The 21,107-nt window shown below is 39.9% G+C and overlaps 1 long non-coding RNA gene across 4 annotated transcripts in view, besides 2 other annotated features; it reads left to right on the top strand.

Moving 5' to 3' along the window:
- LOC102723490 (uncharacterized) overlaps positions 1–21,107 on the top strand; it is a 113,878-nt gene that overhangs the window by 16,818 nt on the left and 75,953 nt on the right. For all 4 annotated transcript variants that reach the window (XR_001749825.2, XR_007063757.1, XR_001749824.2 and 1 more), the window contains exons 2-3: positions 17,018–17,249; positions 19,186–19,305. This is a non-coding gene — a long non-coding RNA (uncharacterized LOC102723490). The remainder of the gene's footprint in view (positions 1–17,017; positions 17,250–19,185; positions 19,306–21,107) is intronic.
- Positions 9,678–10,182: an enhancer, noted in NCBI's record as "OCT4-NANOG-H3K27ac hESC enhancer chr13:37336360-37336864 (GRCh37/hg19 assembly coordinates)". NCBI's record gives its function as "activates a minimal SCP1, AML or CMV promoter by ChIP-STARR-seq in primed H9 embryonic stem cells {active_cell/tissue: H9 hESC(primed)}" and the evidence as "EXISTENCE:reporter gene assay evidence [ECO:0000049][PMID:30033119]".
- Positions 10,183–10,688: an enhancer, noted in NCBI's record as "OCT4-NANOG-H3K27ac hESC enhancer chr13:37335854-37336359 (GRCh37/hg19 assembly coordinates)". NCBI's record gives its function as "activates a minimal SCP1, AML or CMV promoter by ChIP-STARR-seq in primed H9 embryonic stem cells {active_cell/tissue: H9 hESC(primed)}" and the evidence as "EXISTENCE:reporter gene assay evidence [ECO:0000049][PMID:30033119]".

Here is a 21,107-nt window from a genome sequence, read left to right as displayed (position 1 = left end):
TACCTTCTTTAGAGGTTGCACATATTTGACATATTTATAGCAGCGCAATTCACTTTGGTGATCCTGGATACCGTTTTTTGAAGTTACGTTAATTCAGCTTTTTTACTCCAGTGATAGATATACAATCAGAGCCAATCTTGGATAACATGAAAAATGTATATCTATTATTGGAATCATCATTTGACTTAAAAGGATAACTATGTAATCCCAGAATATTTGAAAACTTAATTCAGGGGTTTCAATTGAAGCTTATTTGGTTTTACAAGGGGTCTTCAAAGATTCATGAATATTGCATATTGTGAAAAAACTATGCATGGATTTCAAAATTTTTTTGCACCAAAACAAACTTATACCAATTTGTTATGACATATCTGAGCAGGATCTAGTTTAAGGCACTAAGAAGGATAAGACATCAGTTTGAAAAGATCCTCTATCAGAGCAACATGAATTCTGCTAAAATTTAAGAACAAGCATCAAATTTATGGTAAAGCTTGGGTGGAAGAATGGTGAAATCATTGATGCTTTATGAAAAGTTTATGGGACAATGCCTCAAAAGATAAAAATGGATAACTCACTTTAAGAAGGGGTGAGATGGCTGGGCGCGGTATCTCATACCTGTAATCTCAGCACTTTGGGAGGCTGAGGAGGGTGGATCACCTGAGGTCAGGAGCTTGAAACCATCCTGGCCAACATGGTGAAACTCTGTCTCTACTAAAAATATAAAAATTAGCTGAGCATGGTGATGGAAGCCAGTAATCCTAGCTACTTGGGAGGCTGAGGCAGGAGAATCGCTTGAACCCAGGAGGCGGAGGTTGCAGTGAGTGGAGGTCGCGCCATTGCACTTGAGCCTGGGCTACAAGAGGGCAACTCTGTCTCAAAAAAGGATAAATTCATGTCCTTTGCAGGGACATGGATGAGGTTGGAAACCATCATTCTCAGCAAACTAACACAGGAACAGAAAACCAAACACTGCATGTTCTCACTCATAAGTGGGAGTTGAACAATGAGAACACATGGACATAGGGAGGGGAACACCACACACCGGAGCCTGTCGGGGGGTTGGGGACTAGGGGAGGGATAGCATTAGGAGAAATACCTAATATAGGTGATGGGTTGATGGGTGCAGCACACCACCATGGCATGTGTATACCTGTGTAACAAACCTGCACATTCTGCACATGTATCCCGAAACTTAAAGTATAATAAAAACAAACAAATAAATAAATAAATAAAAAAGAAGGGGTGAGATGATGTTGAAGATGAAACCCACAGCGGCAGGCCATTTACATCAATGTGTGAGGAAAAAATTCATCTCATTTGTGCTCTAACTGAAAAGGACTCAGGATTAATAGCACAAAAAATAGTCAACACTATAGACATCTCAATTGATTCAGCTTACAACATTTTGCCTGAAAATTTAAAGTTGAGCAAACTTTCCACTCGATGGGTGCCAAAACTGATGTATCCAGATCAGCTGCAGACAAGGGTAGAGCTTTCAATGAAAATTTTCAACAAGTGAGATCATGATCCTGAAGCACTTTTTTTTTTTCCAAAGAATTGTAAGAGGAAATGGAACATGGCTTCACCAGTGTAATCCTCAAGACAAAGCACAGTCAGAGCCATGGCTACCAAAAGATGGAAGTGGTTCAGTTAAAGCAAAAGTGCATCAATCCATCAACAGCAGAGGTCATGGCAACAGTTTTTTGAGATGCTCAAGGCATTTTGTTTGTTGACTTTCTGGAGGGCCAAAAAATGGTAACATGTGCCTATGATAAGAGTGTTTTGAGAAAGCCAAAGCTTTAGCAGAAAAATGCCTGGAAAAGCTTTACCACAGAATCCTTCTCCACCATGACAATGTCCTGCTCATTCCTCTCATCAAACAAGGACACTTTTGCTAGAGTTTTGATGGAAAATCAGTAGGCATCCACCTTACAGTCCCGATTTGGCTTCTTCTGATTTTTTCTTTCCAAACCTTAAAAAACCTGTGAGGGGCATCCATTTATTCAGTTAATATATAAAAAAAGACTTCATTGACATGGTTAAATCCCCAGGCCCCTTGATTCTTTATGGTTGAACTAAATGGCTGGTATCATTAATTACAAAAGCATTTTGAACTTGATGGAGCTTATGTTGAAAAATACAATTTGTATATTTTTCTTTCATGTTTTAATCTAATTTTTCCATGAACTTTTTGAAGTTCTCTCAAATAGGGGTAACAGCGTGATCTTTAGGGAGAAAAAAATTCCAGAACATACTCTGTACTACTCCTCTACTCTTAAACTGGGATTGGCATCATATCAGGTCCCATAATGGGATGGAAGTGTGCACTGATTTAATAAGTACATTAGACAAAAGTAGGAGTCCTTTGATCATTTAGGGAGATAGTAAAATGTCATATTTTTGTTTGACTTGATTATTTCTTTTGTCGAACAGGAATCATCCAATGATTCCTTGTTAAATAGTATCTGCTTTGTTATATACAGGATCAAAATATGCTTAAAATTACCACTGTTGCAATTTTGGTAATTCTGAAAAATAAGGCTCCAGAATAGTCACTTGAAACTACCCCAGCAAGCTAGCCCAAGTGCCAGCAAGCCTCGTCTGGAGATACCGGAATGTCAGGACAGGCTTGCAGGTAATGGGGCTGGCACCTGCCTCCATGCACCTGTGCTCTTTCACAGACCCAGCAGAGCAGCAGTGGTGACAGCTCCATGGCAGGTGAGGAACTGGGTCAGAGGAAAAGTTTTGCATGTTTTGAGAGGACAGCACTGAGGTTGCTCAGCTTCATCTTCTCTCTCACAACAAGTCGTAGGTCATAGAGTGGTTTGCAAAGTGCTCTTCTGTCGACTATTTCTTTTCCTTCTTCACAGCAACCCAACATCACACATTGATCACTCAGGTTTTATTAACTTTTACAGAGGAATACATTTGGCTTCTGATGAGGCGATAGCTAAACATTACACAGCAATAAATGGAAAGAGAAGGACTTGCAGCCAGTCTCCTGAACCCTAAATCCCACAGTTCATTGGCTGCCCAATTGCCTCTCCTACAACACAATCTCATGTGGGAAGTGAAAGAAGGAAGTGACTCCATCCTCTTAGAGGGCAGCTCAGAGTTTTAGAGGAGAAGCAGGGGCTTTTAGGAGGAAAGGAAACAAGCGGCTACCTACAAATTTACCACAGTGGACAACTAGTTACTGATGGTGGGTGGTTTGGTTTTGAAAACAATGGATTGGAATGGCATTGACACACCTCTGGAATAATCCATATTCTAACAAACCCCTGTTGTTTTAGGAGCACTTTCAGTCTAATCAGATCTAAGCATCTTTTGGAGTATTCAAAAGGAGTGACAAGATACTAAAGACTTGGAGCTGAACAAATTAACCATGTGAGCATTTTTATGAAGATCAAAGCAATAGAAATGTCCTCCTCCTCATACTGCATCGTTTTAGAGTATATGAGGATGCTTGTCAATGTTTCTGAGCTTTGTGGTGGGAGGTGTAAAATCAATGTACAGACAACTAGAAATTCTGAATAGGACAGAATAAAAGAACACATTATAATGAACATGTTGACAGGAAGATGTATCAGACAACATAATACATCTTTTAATATCAAATTTCTACAGTCTCCATTATGTGTGCTTATATTTTCTGTTCCTTTAGCTCAAGAATTGGCAGAAGTTATTTTGTCTCAAAATATATAATGTGCAATCACAACTTTCCATCTAGTGCATTGTGCTAAACATCCTGAGGGGCCCAAGCAATATAGTCAAATTAATACCCAATTTGCCCACTGGGTAAAACCCCTAAATTTATGGCTCATTCTTTTCTCACATTTCTCATATTGAGAACTAACTTTATCAGGTAGTGAAAGGTCTTGACATTTTCAGGCTGTTTGGCACTGAGGAATTATTATTATTATTATTATTATTATTATTATTATTATTATTATTATTATTTTGAGACGGAGTCTCGCTCTGTCGCCCAGGCTGGAGTGCAATGGTGCGATCTCAGCTCACTGCAAGCTCTGCCTCCCGGGTTCATGCCATTCTCCTGCCTCAGCCTCCGTGGTAGCTGGGACTACAGGCGCCTGCCACCATGCCCGGCTAATTTTTTGTATTTTTAGTAGAGACCGGGTTTCACCGTATTAGCCAGGATGGTCTCGATCTCCTGACCTCGTGATCCACCCACCTTGGCCTCCCAAAGTGCTGGGATTACAGGCGTGAGCCACCGTGCCCGGTCGGCACTAAGGAATTTTTTTAAATCATGTTAGAAATTGGTCACATTTTTTTCTTTTGAAATAGAAATTTCAATGCTTTCTCCCTGACAGCAGACCTTGACTCAGGAAGGAACACTGCAGGATGACTTTTTATTAGGAATTATTTGTTTTTAGAGACTCTGATGTCCTTGAAAGTCCAAATCCCTGCCTCTCATTGGATCTTTAAATTTCATACCATGACCAGCCTTGTGCCTTCAACATAGTATTAGAACAGATACACAATGTAAATGTTGGACACTACCTTAGCTGTCGTTTCATCCAACTTCTTCATTTTGGGGGAATAAGTGTCCCAAATGGTGCCTTCATTATGAAGAGCTAATTTGGTAAAGAGTTAAATCTGGACTCCAAGTCTCCTGTCTTGGGAGGTTGAAACCATCCCTATAAATTATAAAATTAATCAAGGAAGAAGGGAGAGGCAGAAATGAAAATAAATCAAGCTGCAAGCATTCAGCATTAATCATTAGGTGAGCTTGCTCTCTGATCTGCTTCCTTATAGTTGTTTACTTATTGCCCCAGAATCAGTAGATCCTGTTACAAGACTCTATGTAACTTGAACATCATAAAATCTTAAGTTTTCCCTTTGAGATATCCTTTCAGGTCCTGCATACCAGTGAAACTACCGACATCAGCTGGTCTGAAGGAGACTGGTCTGAAGTAAGAAACTGACTGAGTAAAGAATGTAGTTTCCACATCCTGAGGATTTCATCCCTCTTACCCTGACCGATCAATGACTCAATTTTTTTCGGCCTCTTGTCCCCTACAATCTCCTTAAAAACTCCAACCCAGAACTCCTCAGGAGATGATTGTGGGGGGGAGGTCTCCTCGCATCTCCTCATTCAGCTGCCCTTCAATCATTAATCTCTTTCTCTGCTGCAAATCCTGCTGTCTTGGTATATTGGTCTGTTACTGTGCAGGAGGCATATGAACCTGTTGGTCCTGTAACAAGGTCCTGTCTAGTGCTCCATTCACCAGGATTATAAATATTTGTTGGCTGAAGGAAGCATTAAACCTGCCCTTGCAAAGATCACAAATGACCTTCCAATTGCCAAATCCGATAACCTTTTCTCATTTCTAATATTCCTCAGTTTATATTCCTGGGAAACAAAGAAAGGTATCCCAGGCAGAGCCACATTCAACTTCTTGAATTCTGATTGGTAAAATTATTTGTCACATCCTTACTGCTTTCTCTTTAGCCAGTGGACATCTGTCCAAGACCAATCCTTTTCCCTAAGAACAATCTCACTCCTTCTAGGTTCTTTAAAAACTTTATTTAGTGTATGCCTTTGTCTGCCATTAGCAATATCTGTACCTTTAAACTCTCCTTCTGGGCTTACTATTTACCTTCAAGGTAGAAACACAAGTCTGACACCTCACAAAAGCCTCCCTCCACCTTCCATTATTTCCTCTCATCCCTGTCAACAATAATCTTCTGAAAGAACAGAATCTTCTTTCTTCTTAATGAAAGAATCTTCTTTCTGTGTACACCTCCCCTCCCCCCATGCATGCCTCAGCTCCCTGCTTTGTGGCCTTTTCCTGTCAGTCCACTGGTACTGATCTTGCTGGTTGCTGGCTGTTTTTTTTTTTTTTTTTTGTCAGAGTCTCTCCATTTCCCAGGCTGGAGTGTAGTGTTGTAATCATGACTCACTACATTCCTGACCTCCTGGACTCAAGTGATCCTTCCACTTCAGCCTCCTGAGTACCTGGGACCACAGGCATGCATCACCATGTCCAGCTAATTAAAAAAAATTTATTGTAGAGCTAGGATCTCCCTATGTTGCCCAGGCTGGTCTTGAACTCCTGGGCTCAAGCAATCCTCTTGCTCTGGCCTCTCAAAGTGCTGGGTTTATAGACATGTGCCACCATACTTGGTCTGTAGTGCTTCCTAATTACCAAATTCAGTGGATGTTTTTCATCCTTTACTTCATCTCTCAGTGGCATTTGACATTATTGATCTATTGTGGACAGCTGTCATCTGTTTTGGCAGCCCAGCTGTAAATGTAATTCAGGGAATTTTCTACCTTATGAGGAGGAGTCTGTTTCCCAAATGCCGGATAGCTGCTCTTGCTCTCTTCTTCATCAACCCCTCTCTTGCAAGGTAGATATTCCATAAGGACCTGTTTTTAGCCTACTTATTTCTCTGTATCAGGGCTACTCAATCTTTTAAAAAAATATCATGGCACACACAGGAAACATAATAATATGGCACTGAAGGTAAACTGGAGCAAATTTGGGGGTGATTATGTGACAGGTTTTGTGAAAAACAACTCTATATTTTCTTAATATTATATCAAATATTCTTCTGCAAAATAGGTAGAATTAATTGGAATTGAATGTGTGAAAAATGTTGATTGTGTCTTAGAAACATGGCCCCAGGGTAATAAAGTGAGCAATTCCTGATCCTGGGATAATGCAGACAAACTGCACTGAAAGAAGCAAATTGGGTTTGATTTTGCTTTGAACATAAAGACAGTGCTTGGGACTGGTTTGTCAGACACCATATCTCCATACTAGATACTGAACTGAATATTGAATTAGGAATAATATTTGCCTTGTATGCATTGATTAAACCCTAATCCTCTCTTTCTATATTGCCAAACCTGAGGCAAACCAAAGTATTCCTCACTGAAAACATCACTCATGATTCTTAAGGAAACACTCAGATATTACAGTAGGCTGAAAAATGTTCCCTTCTCCCCAAAATATTCATGTGCTAATCTCCAGAACCTGTGAATGTTACCTTATTTGGAGAAAGGGTCTTTGTAGGTGTGATTAATTTAAGGATCTGAAGATGAGGAGGTTATCCTGGATTAACCAGTTGGGCCCTAAATGCAATCACATGTATCTTAGTAAAAGAGAGGCAGAGGGAGATTAAAGACTGACACAGGAGGAGATAATGATGTGAAGATGGAGGCAGAGATTGGAGGAATGCAGCCATGAGCCAAGGAATGCCAACTGCCACTAGAAGCTAGAGGAGGCAAGCGAGAATTCTTCCCTAAGAGCCTGCAGAGGGAGCATGGCCCTACCAATATTTTGATTTCAGACCTCTGGCCTCCAGAATGGTGAGAGAATAAATTTGTGTTGTTTTTAGCCACCAAGTTTGTGGAAATTTGTTACAGCAGCCACAAGAAGTGAATATAGATGCCTTTAGACATTTCTTTAGTATTTATTGATTGCAACTTCATAAAGTCAAGATAATTTCAAGGCTAAGTTTTATGGCTGTATTATTCAAAGCAGTTCTATCACTAACCAAATTATGAAGTTTTGAGTGGGGCACGGTCTTCTTTTTACAAAATAATTCGACTGTTTAGGTACCTAGCACCTTCATGCAAGTGTGACTCAGTGTATACATAGGGGAGTTATGTCAATGTAATTTTAATATGAATGCTTTACATTGCACAAGGCCAAACCCAATAGAACTTTCCAGGAAGACAAGTCTTATCTTAGATTCTATTTCTCAATTTTTCAGGTTAGATGAGAGTGGTAATCTTTTTGAGAAGGAAAGCACAACATATAGGTGGTCATACAAGATAGATGGTTACCTTCTCCGTGCATACATACAGCCCTGATTCTCATGAACATAATTCATATAAATAGTAAGTTAGGACATGTCTTAACTTTGAAGTTGGGATTATATTAAACTCAAGGGGGACACAAAAACGATTGGATGAGCAAGTGAAAAGCAGACCTCCTGGTGTGTGATTTCAGACAATTATTGCAGTCCTTGTTTATTGCCTCTTACTAATTAGAAGTTTCAGCACACAATCTTTCAGCTGTACTTGAGCAGAGGGGCAGGAAAAATTCATTAGCAGTTCAGTACTGGTGATGGCAGCCCTGTGGGATTGCAGTACAGGATAAAGTGAAGTGACGGAGCCTGTGAGGATTTGGAAGTTTCATGTAGGCATGGAGACACAGATTATTGGTGATATGGGTTCATTTGCATAGAGCAATTTTCCAGTTCCTAAATCCTGAATGCAGAATACCCATTTGGACTTGTATGTCCTGCTTCGTAGGCATACACCTTCCACTCTACCATGGGCTGACATTTTGTTGGAATAGATTTTTCCCCTTACCCTTAAAAAAAATTTCTGTGGTACTGAAAAAAAATCAGCTTCTCATTAATTAGAGTGCTCATGTGTCAAGAAAGAGAATCTAGTAGTAATAGAAAAGTTGATTCATAGAAGAACGAGTCACAGGTGGGAGGAAGAATATATTTGTATAGATTTTATGCTGTAGGATATTTACATGTCTAATAGAGTTAAAAATAAAAGTAAAATTTTCTCTTTACCATAAGCAGGTAGGGTTTTGGCCTGTTCCTTAGTGATTTAATCAGGATGCATAATGTATCACATGAAAAACCAAGAGCTGAAGAGCATAGTTAAGAGTTTTTCTTTAATATTCCATTGATATTAAGACCCTGCCTTCCTCATCCCCATCCTTCTGTTAGGTGAAAGGCTTCATTCATTCATCCATTTCTTCAACAAACATTTCTATAGTAGTAGCGTGAGGCATGTGAGGGACAGAAGTGAAGAGTCAGGAGAACTGAGCTATGGTGGAAGCACAGACATGCAGAACCTGGGTGGGACTTGGCAGAGTGACAGCAGCCAGGCCAGTGTGCAGGGAGGCGCCAACTTGAAGGTGCTGAGAGCTGATGGGTTCTGGAAGTTTAAATGGGAGGAATTCAGGGACAGGCTACAGATTCAGGCAGCAGCCAGATTATAAACCCAAATCAGGATTTCGTGTCATAACCCTGAAATATCCTAAAGTGTTTTACATTTTTCTTTAAGACTCTCAAGCTTTTTAATAACAAGTTTTGTTTTTCTAGTAGCATCTATTAACATTCTTTGTAATTCTCAAGGGATATAACTTGGAAATGATTGGACAGTGTAATAGTCTTTGCTGTAAAAAGAGAGTAAGATCACTCCTGTAATCCCAGCACTTTGGGAGGCTGACGCAGGCAGATCACTGGAGGTCAGGAGTTCGATACCAGCCTGGCCAACATGGTGAAACCCCATCTCTACTAAAACTACAAAAATTAGCCAGGTGTGGTGGTGCACACTGTAGTCCCAGCTACTCAGGCGGGAGACTAAGGCAGGAGAATTGCTTGAACTCAGGAGGTGGAGGTTGCAGTGAGTCAAGATCACACCACTGCACTCCAGCCTGGGTGATAGAGTAAGACTCCGTCTCCAAAAAACAGAGAGAGAGTTAAGAGCCATCTACCCCAGGTGGAGAAAACACCAATAAACATTATTGCATAGATTTTGAGAGAGGGGCACTGGATTTTCTATTGAGCGTGCAACAAGCCATTTCCCTGGAAGTAACTCTCATTTTCACTTTGTACCAAAAATAAATTCTAAGCCCTCCAACCAACTGAATGAACCCCTCCTATTGATATGGGAGTTAAAAAGAAATTACTTAGGCAGATAGTGACGCTATGGAAGTCCTCGGTAAGGTTTTCCTTTTAATGAAAAGCAGCCCAAAAACATTTTCCTTTTTAACTAAGAGCAGCCTGTAAAATCGAGCTGCAGACATAGATGCTGGCAGTTGTGCCAATCATGTTCAAAATGGCGGCTCCATCTTCCCTTTTCTTTGTCAGCCACGTGTATAATAAGGAGCAGACAAGGTGGCACTGGCTGGGGGAAGTCCATTTGCATAATAAGATTAGGGTGGAGTGGCCAGTCTTTCCCATGTGCTATGTAAATGTCACACCTGATTGAACCAATCTGTGGGCCCTATGTAAATCAGACACTGCCTCCTCAAGCCTGCCTATAAAATCTGGTGAACTCCTTGGCTGGTGGCCTTTTCCTCTGGGAACCCTGTCTCTCACTAGAGAGAGAGCTGTTTTCCTTCTCTTTCTTCTGCCTATTAAACCTCTGCTCCTAAATCCCTTGTGTGTGTGTCTGTGCCCTAAATTTTCTTGTCGTGAAGCTATGAACCCCTGGTATTTACCCCAGACAACAAAGCTGCTTCACTATGGCCAAGGAGATTCCAAAGAAACCTGAAAATCTAGTTCAAGACATGACAGGAAGAGGAGGTGGACTTGCCTCACTATGCCCTCCTCCCTTTGGAATTCAGGCACAACTGACCAGCATTAACATAAAAATAGAGATCTTGGCAGGGCACAGTGGCTCACACCTGTTATACCAGCACTTTGGGAGGCTAAGGCGGGTGGATCACTTGAGGTCAGGAGTTCGAGATCAGCCTGGCCATCATGGTGAAACCCCGTTTCTACTAAAAATACAAAAAATTAGCGGGGTGTGGTGGCGCGTGCCTGTAATCCTAGCTACTCAGGAGACTGAGGCGGGAGAATCACTTGAACCTAGAAGGCAGAGGTTGCAGTGAGCCGAGATAGTGCCACTGCACTCCAGCCTGGGCAACAGAGCGAGACTCTGTCTCAAAAAAAAAAAAAAAAAAAAAAAAGATCTTAAGACTGACAAACAGACTCTTTGTAGCAATAAGATACCAAATAGATACCAAATTCCAATCTGACTCTAGTAGAGCATCACAGGACAGATAGCAGGCTCTGAAAGAAATCAAAGTATTTTGTCCCAAATATAATCCTTTGTCATATTTTGAAATGGCCCTGCAAAGCTGTCTCTTGTGGGGAAAACTTACATTCTGTAGAGAATCCATTTTTCTCTATAGGTCTTTTTCTGATCCTGAAGAGATTAGCTGGCAGTCTAATACCTTTTAAGGGTCTGAATAGGAAACATTTGTCATCTATTGCCTCTAAGGGTGGCCACCTATCAGATTTCATCTACATAATAAGACCTTTGGTCTCCACAGCCCCTTATCTTAACCCAGACACTTCTTTCTATTGATTACAGGTCTTTAGACAATAACTTAACTTGTTCAACCAATTGCTAATTAGAAAAACTTTGAAACCACCTATGACCTGGAAGCCCCCACTGCGAGTTGTCTTGCCTTTCTGGACCAAACCAATCTATATCTTACATGTATTGACGGATGCCTTATGTCTCCCTAAAATACATAAAACCAAGCTGTAAGCCAACCACCTTGGGGGCACATATTTTCAGGACCTCCTGAGGCTGTGTCATGGGTCATGGTGCTCACATTTGGCTCAGAATAGATCTCTCTAAATATTTTACAGAGTTTGGCTTTTGTGTCAACAACTTACAGCCTTTCCACCTCCCCCAGCCCATAAAAATTACTATGAAGAATAAAAAAACCATGACATAAAAGGGCAATGCTCCTACATTCTTCCCTGATGCCTGAACCCTGCTTATTTTCATGACTGAACTAGGAAATCCTACAGCTCTGGGTTTGGGTAATCTGCTGATGACAATTACATCATTAGCTCTACTAAAGCTAAAGAGCGTATTGCTTTTCTACCATGTGTACTAACAACTGCTTTCTCATTAAATCATCTCTTTTTATAATTTATTGAAAAACAAATAAAATATTCCAATTTTCTTTAAGGTTTAAATATTATCTGTGTTTTACAATTGGTTTCCTTCCCCCCTCACATGCCTTTGAATAAAAATTGAAACTTTCGTTTAATTTTTTTCCAGTAAAGTAAAAATCATCTAGTCTTTTCAGTAAGATGTGGAATGTACTATATCTGTTAGTCAAGAAGTATGTAGTTGGGAAAAAGAAAAACACCTAATTCATATGGGATGTTATTTTCAGCTTGGTGTTTAAGCTGTGCATCTCCTTTAGGCTCAATCATATGATAGACATTGTCTGTAGAAAACAATTAGGTTTTTTTTGACATTTAGGATTTTATTTAGTTCTTTGGTATTGAAAGTTAGTACTGAGAAGGGTCCCAGAGAACATTAATTCAAAGGAAATGAAGCAAATTGTGAAACTTGTGTCCAATCCTCTCGTCACATTAGAATGATCTTGGACCCCTCTCCTCCTCTTCCTTCCTCTTCCAATATCTGCTCCCTCTTCCATTTAAGCTTTGCCCTCTTCTTTTCTTCCTGGTGGGCTTAAGAAGCTTGAGGTGTTCAACCTTGGCTTTCCTATTTCCTATTGCAGCTGTTGGAAGGTAGCTAGAGAAGAGCTCATCACAGCAGTATAAGGACAATCTCTGCTCTTGTACGCTCAGGTAATTTTGTTTGTTTGTTTTTGTTTTGAGATAACCTCGCTCTGTTGCCCAGGCTGGAATGCAGTGGTGTGATCTTGGCTCACTGCAACCTCTGCTTCCCAGTTTCAAGCGATTCTCATGCCTCAGCCTCCCAAGTAGGTGGGATTACAGGTGTGTACCACCAGGCCCAGCTAATTTTTTAATTTTTATTTTTAGTAGAGACAGGGTTTTGCCATGTTGGCCAGGCTGGTCTTGAACTCCTGACCTCAAGTGATCCACCCACCTTGGCCTCCCAAAGTACTGAGATTGCAGGCATGAGTCACGGCACCCAGCCAGCCCAGGTAATTTTAGTACAAATTCCAGAGGACAGAAATGAAGAGATTAGTATAAACTTAAACTCTGCTACTAACTAGCCATATGCCAAGCAAATCATTCCATTGAAAGCGAGTTTATCTCTGTCACTAAACAATTGTGTGGCCTGCTTTTGGTAATTCCCCTTTGAAATAAATTTAATGGCTGCCTAACTTCATTCATTTATTTATCCATTGAACAAGTACTTATAAAATAACTATTATGTCCCAGGCGTGGTTGAAAAGTTCTGGGGATGCAAAAATGAGTAAAAGCAATATAGTTCTGCCTCCAGGAAGTTACTTTCTAGAGAGGAGACTTTAAAATATTGGCAAACAAGGGTTTTCCCATTCATTCCCATTACATTTTATCTCCTCGCTGTGGTTTTAAATTTTGTATCTTAGCAAGCACAGCTGCTGACATTGACTTTTTAAAAGTAAATGAATTAATATTAATATAAGAATTTACTTTTGGAATACCTTCTTTTTTTTAAGGAAGAATTCCTATAACTTCTATATCTGGAGATTAGCATTCTTGCTTTACATATGAAATGGTATTTTATTTTGTTTAAACATTGTGATATCACAGATATCTGTGTGTTTAAACAGTGGAACATCACAGAGTCTGAGAACAGTCTTTTGGTGTTTCTTTTTCTTTGTAGATTTGTCATCACACATATTAAATATTATCCATCTTCTAGGTAATGCTTAATAAAAGGAGATGATTGTCTTTGACATTTGCCCTGGCATAGAATAATATTTTAAGCTGAAATCATGACAAGGTTTTACAGTTCATTATATTTTACAAGAACTATCCCATATTGTATGTATCACTGTCTATAACATTTAATTCCAAAGATTTCAATTCAAATAAGATCCTAAACATAGAGACTTGGGGAAGAAAACCAAACAGGCAAAAAAGAGTTTGATTATTGTAATGCATCATAATTAGGCTTTGGATTGTGGCTCAGCAAATCCAAAGACACTTCCTTGAGCCTGACCATCACTCCTGAGTGGTGTGACACACAGGGACAGACCCTCCTTCTCTTCTACCCCCAAATGTCAAGGGAGGGTCATATGAATGTAGCTCCTTTTGCGTTCTTTGGAAAGGTGGCATGGGTTTTCCTGCTGCCTTCTCTGAAGTGGGCTTATCAGTTGGCAGCAGTCCCATCTTGCATTTGCAAATTTGGCAGCTGCTGTGAAGTCATACAATGTCATGATTGTTTAGTGACAGAACTTGAACCCCCTCTCACCAGAATGACTTGCTTGGCACATGGCTAATTAGTAGCAGAGTTTAAACTTAGACTAATCTCTTTATTTCTGTCCTTGGAATTTGTACTAAAATTACTTGAGCTTATAAGAGCAGAGTATAGACTGTCCATTATATTGCTGTCTTTTCTACAGAGAAGACAGAATTAGGACAGAATTAGGAAAGCTTGAGAAGAACAGGATAGATGTTAAGAAAAATCTCCAGGTTCTAGCAGAATATCTGGTTGGTGTCCATCTTCCCTGATATCCATCAGTTGTTTGTACAAAGTCATCAAAAGGACCAGCATTTGATATATTTTTACAGATGGGTCCAGACTCACTGAAATTCCATATGTGGAAGATTTAAAAACTGGTTTGAAACATTTATTTTCAACTTTTAAGAAGCAATCATATAGGAGAGTTGTTACAGGTGGCATACATTATTTTCAGTTGTATGATCATACAATGATGGAAATAATTCCACACATCCATTTTTCAAAATATTCTCCCCATAGTTTGATTCTTCCAACAAGCAGTTATTTTCTCATTCATTATTAAAATGGTGGCTTTACCCTGAAGGAAGTGATTAAGGGTGTTTCTATATTTGAAAACATCTTCCAAACACTTGTCATCACAGACAAAGACAGCACATTTGGAGCATGATGTATTGTATAATAAATATATATAATGCCTTTATACTAAGCAAATATTCAGCATACATTGCCACAAATAGCCAAAAAGACCTGTGTCATTCAAAAGATTATTCTCTATTCTGTTGCAAAGTATTGTAAAAGAGTCTACTATATTTTTTTGGCTGGGTGTGGTGGCTCCCACCTGTAATCCCAGCACTTTGGGAGGCTGAGATGGGCAAATCCCTTGAGGTCAGGTGGTCGAGACCAGCCTGGTCAACATGGTGAAACCCCATTTCTACTAAAAATCCAAAAATTAGCTGAGTGTGGTAGTGTGTGCCTGTAATCCCAGCTACTCAGGAGGCTGAGGCAGAACAATCACTTGAACCCGGGAGGAGGAGGTCACAGTGAGCAGAGATACTGCCACTGCACTCCAGCCTGGGCAACAGAGCCAGAGTCCATCTAAATAAATAAATAAATAAAAAAAGAGCCTACCATATATTTTAAACTGATGTATAGTAGAGTACATAGTTTTGGGGTACTTGTGATTATTTAATGCATTCATGTAATTTGTAAAGATCACATCAGTCTCATTGCTTCTCAAAGAGGGGAGGTACAAGTCAGTCAGTCAGTCACAGAGTCTCCTCAAGATAGTTACTAGTTGTGATTTCCTAAAATACTTAAGGCAAGATAGTGAAATAAGCTACAATTTCTGCATTGGGACTGGTCCTGAGACTCTAATTGGCATTTATACCTTCTCTCCTCTATTACCCATTCTGTATTTCCTGCATTAGACAACTCTCAGGTGGTCTAATTTGCTTTCCTGGTGCAGTGATTCAGAACTTCAAGTGGTCTGATGCTTTATTTGTCCTGTATATTTTAGGCTGTGATTGCTGCATTTTTCCATTCACCATTATCAGGGGGCATGGAAGTACTGAGAGAGACCCGGTGATTCCCCTAGGTGGTTTCAGTCGTCATCCTCTGTGACTCCATTCTGTGGTGGTAACACCAACTCCTTAATTATTTCAATAAAACAGCAAATCATTTCCTTGCCAGTTGAACTACTATCATGAAAGCCCAAAGTGAACAGGTGGTAGTCACAAGTTCAAGTTCAATGCAACTCTTAGATACACTGGCAGACGTGTTCTTTCCCTGAGAACCAGGACCTCTAATTGGGCAGGATCTTAGATTGTAGGGAGGAGAAACACAATTGCTGTAAATGGGCCCTTGTGTTTGATGGTGAGGTGGGGTCACTTCTACTTCCCTCGCTTCCTGGACCTAATATTCTTAGTATTGGAGGTAAAGTACTATATTATCAGCTGTTGATTTAGTCCATATGTCACTCCTCAAAGACAACAAAGGTGTCAGACGCTGCAAGACGTCAGACCCACAGCTGAGCCTTCAACAGGCTGTTCATCATTTTATGGGCTGACTGTTTCCAGATGATGGCATACATGGTATTATTAGGGAGTTTCCTGGTCTGAAGTCCATTTTTGCAGCACCTTTGCTGTAGAAAATTGCACCGCTGAAGGGAACACTGTGTGGAAAACATGTTGAATGATAAAGCATTCTATAAGTGCTTTGGCGGGGGTGCTAATAGAGACACTGCAGCTAGGAAAGGCAATCCAACATTCAGAGTATGTATCAATTTCAGAATGAATTAATGCTCACTGTCCGCTCCAGTGTGTAAGTGGCCTGATATAATTGACTTGCCACTAGGTAGGTAGTTGGCAGATACCTCAAAGAATGGTGTGGGGTTGAGGGCACAGCTTCAGTCCCTTCAGTTGGCACACTGGCCACTGCTAAGTGGCCATAATGCCAAGAAGCCCTGGTTATTAGGCCCAGGCTGGTCTTCATTCCTTCCATCTTGGCCACTCTGTTCATGGACCCATTGCACAAGCAATGGGCTAGATGAGGAGACCATTCAGGGTCATCTCACCAGAACATCTTTCAGGGTCTCTTACAACTGAGGATATAATACAACAACTGTCAATTTTTAGCACACCAGCATAGTACTCTGTACCTGTGAGCCAGGCTTGCCTTTTCTTCCTCTGTGAGTTGGTCAGCAGAAACCCATGGGTTGAAGGTGAGGCGCTGGTGCAGTAGAAGTAGTTCGTATGCAGTCTGATCAGCAGTTAATGGTAATTTACTCATAATTTTGGACCTGGTCCAGCCCCCTTTTATGTGTGCCAGTTCTGTCATCTGGTGGGTTGCCGCCATGTCTGGCTAACAGTCTGACTTGATGATCTGAAAATATGCAACACCGTAGAGACCATGCTTCCTTCTGCCTGCTCTCAGTGACTGAACAGAGCAGAGATACTAAAGCAGGTCTGTTCCTAAGAGACAGGAGACTTTAGCTTGGGAACTTTCCAATGACCCTGCCAAACTTCCCTTAGAATTGCACCGCAGCCTAAGATGCTTGCACTCACCCTCCCTTCTTTCTTTTTCTCTTTCTCTTTCAATCAGGGGCAGATCTGCATCACGGGCTTGCATGTCCAATTTCACCTTGGCACTTGCTTCTCCGAGGGTCTGGACATGGGGCTTCGTTTGAGTCTGGAAGCAGTGGAGAGGGGCCAGAAGCTCCAGGCCTTGGCTTGGAGATCTCTACAGGTGTGCATGGAGATGTTTGAAGTGCTAATGGCTGAGACAGAGCAAGTGGCAGAGGCCTAGGAGACGGAGGCTGAAAGAGTCTGAGGAGGTACATATGAAATGCCCAATATGGAGAGGTTTCAATGACAGATTGACACTTGCAACTTCAGTCAGATCACTCTGGCTGAAGTAAGATAAATGAACTGGCAGAGAGCAAATATGACAGGGAGCCTAGTTAGGAAATAAATATCAGGCAAGAGACAATAAGCATATGAACTGCAGCAGTGACAATGAAAATAGAGAGAAAGGGACACGTATGGTAGGGGTAGGGTAGTCCTGTAAATTTACAGGACTTAGTGATATCAAGGTCAGTCACTGGGGAGAAGGAGACAAAGCTGATTCGTTGATTACTGTTTGGAAAAACTGAGAGGATAAAGGACACAGAAGGAAAAACTTTTCTACTTTGAAGTAAAACCTTTTTGGTCACATTGAGTTTGAGGTATCATTGGAACTTCCATGTGAGGTGTAGGAGGTGCCGTTCTAAAGCTGAGGAGAAAGTTTAAAGAGCTGATATAGATTTTGAATTCTCAGCCATAAGGGGAAGCTGTGATCAAGGATAAAATCGCCCAGGCAAGGCATGCAGCGCAGCTGCCTCATGCTGGAAGCCTGGGGCTCACCAATGTTTAAGGGGAGAACAGACCAAGAGGTGACAGAGGAAGAGACTGATTCTGAGTTGCAGCGGGAGAAATGGAGTGTAGAGACCAAGGGAATAAAGAACTTCAAGAAGAGAGGGAGTTATCAATGGCGTCAGGTGCACCAAAGAGGTCAAACTAGGTAAAAGCTTAAGTAAAGCCCCTATGTAGCTGTTAGTGATCTTAGCATGAGGAATATCAGAGCTGAATTGGAGCAGAAGCCAGATTATAATAGGTTGGAGAATGAAAACAAAGTATAAAAGTGAAGACAGCCGTGGGAAGGCACTACTTTTTCAGTGAGTTGAACGTGAAGGAAGAGGGTGAGAAACTGAGAAACTTGCCGCCAAATGGATAGGCAGAATTTGAAAAGGGTTTTCTTTGTTTTCTGTTAATTACTTTTTTAAGATGGCAGAGACATGTACATGTTATAGGCTAATAGAAAAGAGCGAGCAAAAAGGGAGAGGTTGAAGTTACAGGAGAGAGAAGAGAGTGATGCGAAGGTAAGGCTTGGGTCAAGATAGTTTCTGTCTTTTTTTTGAGGGTTTTTAGATGGAGAGAAAGAGAGAGAGAGAGGGAGAGAGGAAAAAAAAAAGAATCTCTTCTAAATTGCCTTCTTGATGTAAATAAACCAGTGCATGATTGTCAGATACCAGTCTTCAGCTCCCAGATGATCTTGTGCCTCTATGCAAATCATGGCAATGGCTGACTCCATGGAGCATCTGTAACCTCTGCTAAGCATCAGTGAACTAATCAGGTTGAATCTGCATAACTCATCCATAAAAAATCTCTGCAGGGTGAGGAACATCACACACCAGGGCCTGTCATGGGTCGGGGGTTGCAGGGAGGGATAGCACTGGGAGAAACACCTAATGTAAATGACGGGTTGATGGGTGCAGCGGGCCAGCATGGTACATGTACACCTATGTAATAAGCCCACACGTTGTGCACATGTACCCTAGAACTTAAAGTATAATAATAAAAAAAAAATCTCTGCAACAGTCTGGTCTTATTTCCATCCAAGTCTCAGTGCAAACATTTCAAACAATTGAACATTTCATTAATCAGAGAAAAAGTTTATCCAAAAACTCACTGTAAGAAAGGCATTAGTTTAATCTCCCCTGTGTCACATTTCATTATGACAGATGTGTCTTATTTTGAGTTCTTATTTACATAGCACACAGACATATTATCATTACAGATAATTAGCCTTAAAAGCATTAGCTTTTACAACACTCAAGTTTTAAATTTCCCATTCATCCATCAGCATGTTAAGAAATATGTCCCCTCCCCTCATTATGTTCTGGGTCTAACTTTATTTCTACTCAAGCCCTTTGTCCATTTCATATTTTCCAGGAAAGGAGGCACTGAGGGACTCACATGAAGCTACTCTGTCAGCATTCTAAAACTTCTGACATTCTTTTCTATGAAGATAATTGAATCACCAAATTTGATGAAATGTTCCCCAAATATCAGGTAACAGATTTTCTGTGGGGGTCTATGGATACACTTTAAAGTCAAGGAGAAAATTTTTGGATTGTTTTCCAGCGTGGACTATTTCTTCACTGACAAGGATTTAAAAACAATAAAGCATTGTACATCGACAGAAAACATGACACATGTGGACCTTTCTGTAGAAGAACACATTGCAATCTGAAAATCTAGAGAATATAAACTTGTCTTGAACATTGTCCAAGAAATTTTACTTAACAAATTACTGAAGAGTCTGAGTCATTCCATGTTAGAGCATATCTTTGGTGATACTCTTATAGTAAGGCTTAAGAGCATTATAGTAACAGTAAAAATGTTGTACTATTTTTGTAAGAAGTTCTGTCCCATTTCTGGGATTAGTAATGTGTGTGGGTCACTGAGTATTTGTTGGATACATTCTTAAATTGAGTTAAATTTCTGCAGGTGTAGTCCCTTACAGATATTCCTATTCAAAATTTTTCTTCCCATTAAAAACAGCATTAGGGACCTTAGTGTACAGGGATCTACATTTAAAAACACAGGAAAGGAAAAATGAAAATGTTTTGAGTTCATGTTATTGGAATTAAGGCAGAGAAAATGTGAGAACGGCAATATTTGATGAAATAATGCCTGGTGACTTCCCAGAATTACTGAAAAGTATGTATCCTCAGATTTAAGAAGAATAATAATCCCAAAGCAAGATAAATAAAACAAATCTATATCTACACACATCATAGTGTCTTCAAGATCTGAAGGAAGAGATAAAAGCAAGTTGCCTGCACATACTCTAAGGTTCTCAACTTCTAATGACCTATCCAGAAAGCAAGTAAACAAACATGTAGATTCCTGGGCCCTACCACTTTAAGATTCAGATTCAGTTGATCTAGGGTGAAGTCTAAGAGCTACATTGCTAACCAACTCCATAGGCCACACTTTTGGGCGGCACTCAATGAGTGTAAGAGCAGACTTCTCAACATCAGCAGTAGAGGCCCTAAGATGGAAAATAATATTTTCAAAATGCTGAAAGAAAATAATTATCTAATTGGTAAAATACACTTGGCTAAAATTGCATTTAAGAAGGAGAGTAAAATGAGATATTTTTGGACAACTAAGTATTAAGGGTTTATTACAAACAGATCCTCAGAAAGGAACTTCTAAAGGACTTACTTTAGGAAGAAGAAGAAATAAACAAAGAATGTGTCTGAGATTCAACAACGATTGATGAGCAAAGGGTTAATGTGTGGGTACATCTAAAATGTTGAGCCTATTTAATATTTACTTTTGCAGGTGAAAAAATGAAATTAGTATTAGAAATGTGGTAAAAATATCTGGTGAGCTAGGTGATTTTAGGTAAAGCTTTCTAAGAGCCTTTGTTTCTTAGAGATATTTTATTTCTTAGGTAGAGCTTTTATTTCTTAGAGATATTGATTAATTTTTAGTTATATATGAATATTAGCTTATTAAAGTTTATTCCTAAAGGAGTAAGAATAGAATGAATAACTTTCAAAATTTTGAAATTAAAAGGTTAAAAAATAGAATCAATCAAAAGACAAAAAGAAAGGAAGAGAAAAGCATAAAAGAGTAGGACAAATAGAAAACACAAAATGGGACAATAGAAATATTTTAAAGTATATCAGCAATAAAAATAGATTTAAATGAACCGAACTTGCGACTCTCAAAGAAAGAGTGTTAAATTAGATAAAAAGATACCCAGTTTATTCTCTTTATCTGACACGATTGAAATATAGGAATGCAGAATCTATAAAAGAATGGAAAGATAGATACCATTGCATTAATTTCCTAGGTCT

This window comes from Homo sapiens, chromosome 13 (genome assembly GCF_000001405.40).
Source record: "Homo sapiens chromosome 13, GRCh38.p14 Primary Assembly".
NCBI classification, from domain to species: Eukaryota; Metazoa; Chordata; class Mammalia; order Primates; family Hominidae; genus Homo; species Homo sapiens.
The sequence above is the reverse complement of the archived record's forward strand: the minus strand, read 5'-3'. Positions and strand labels throughout refer to the sequence as shown.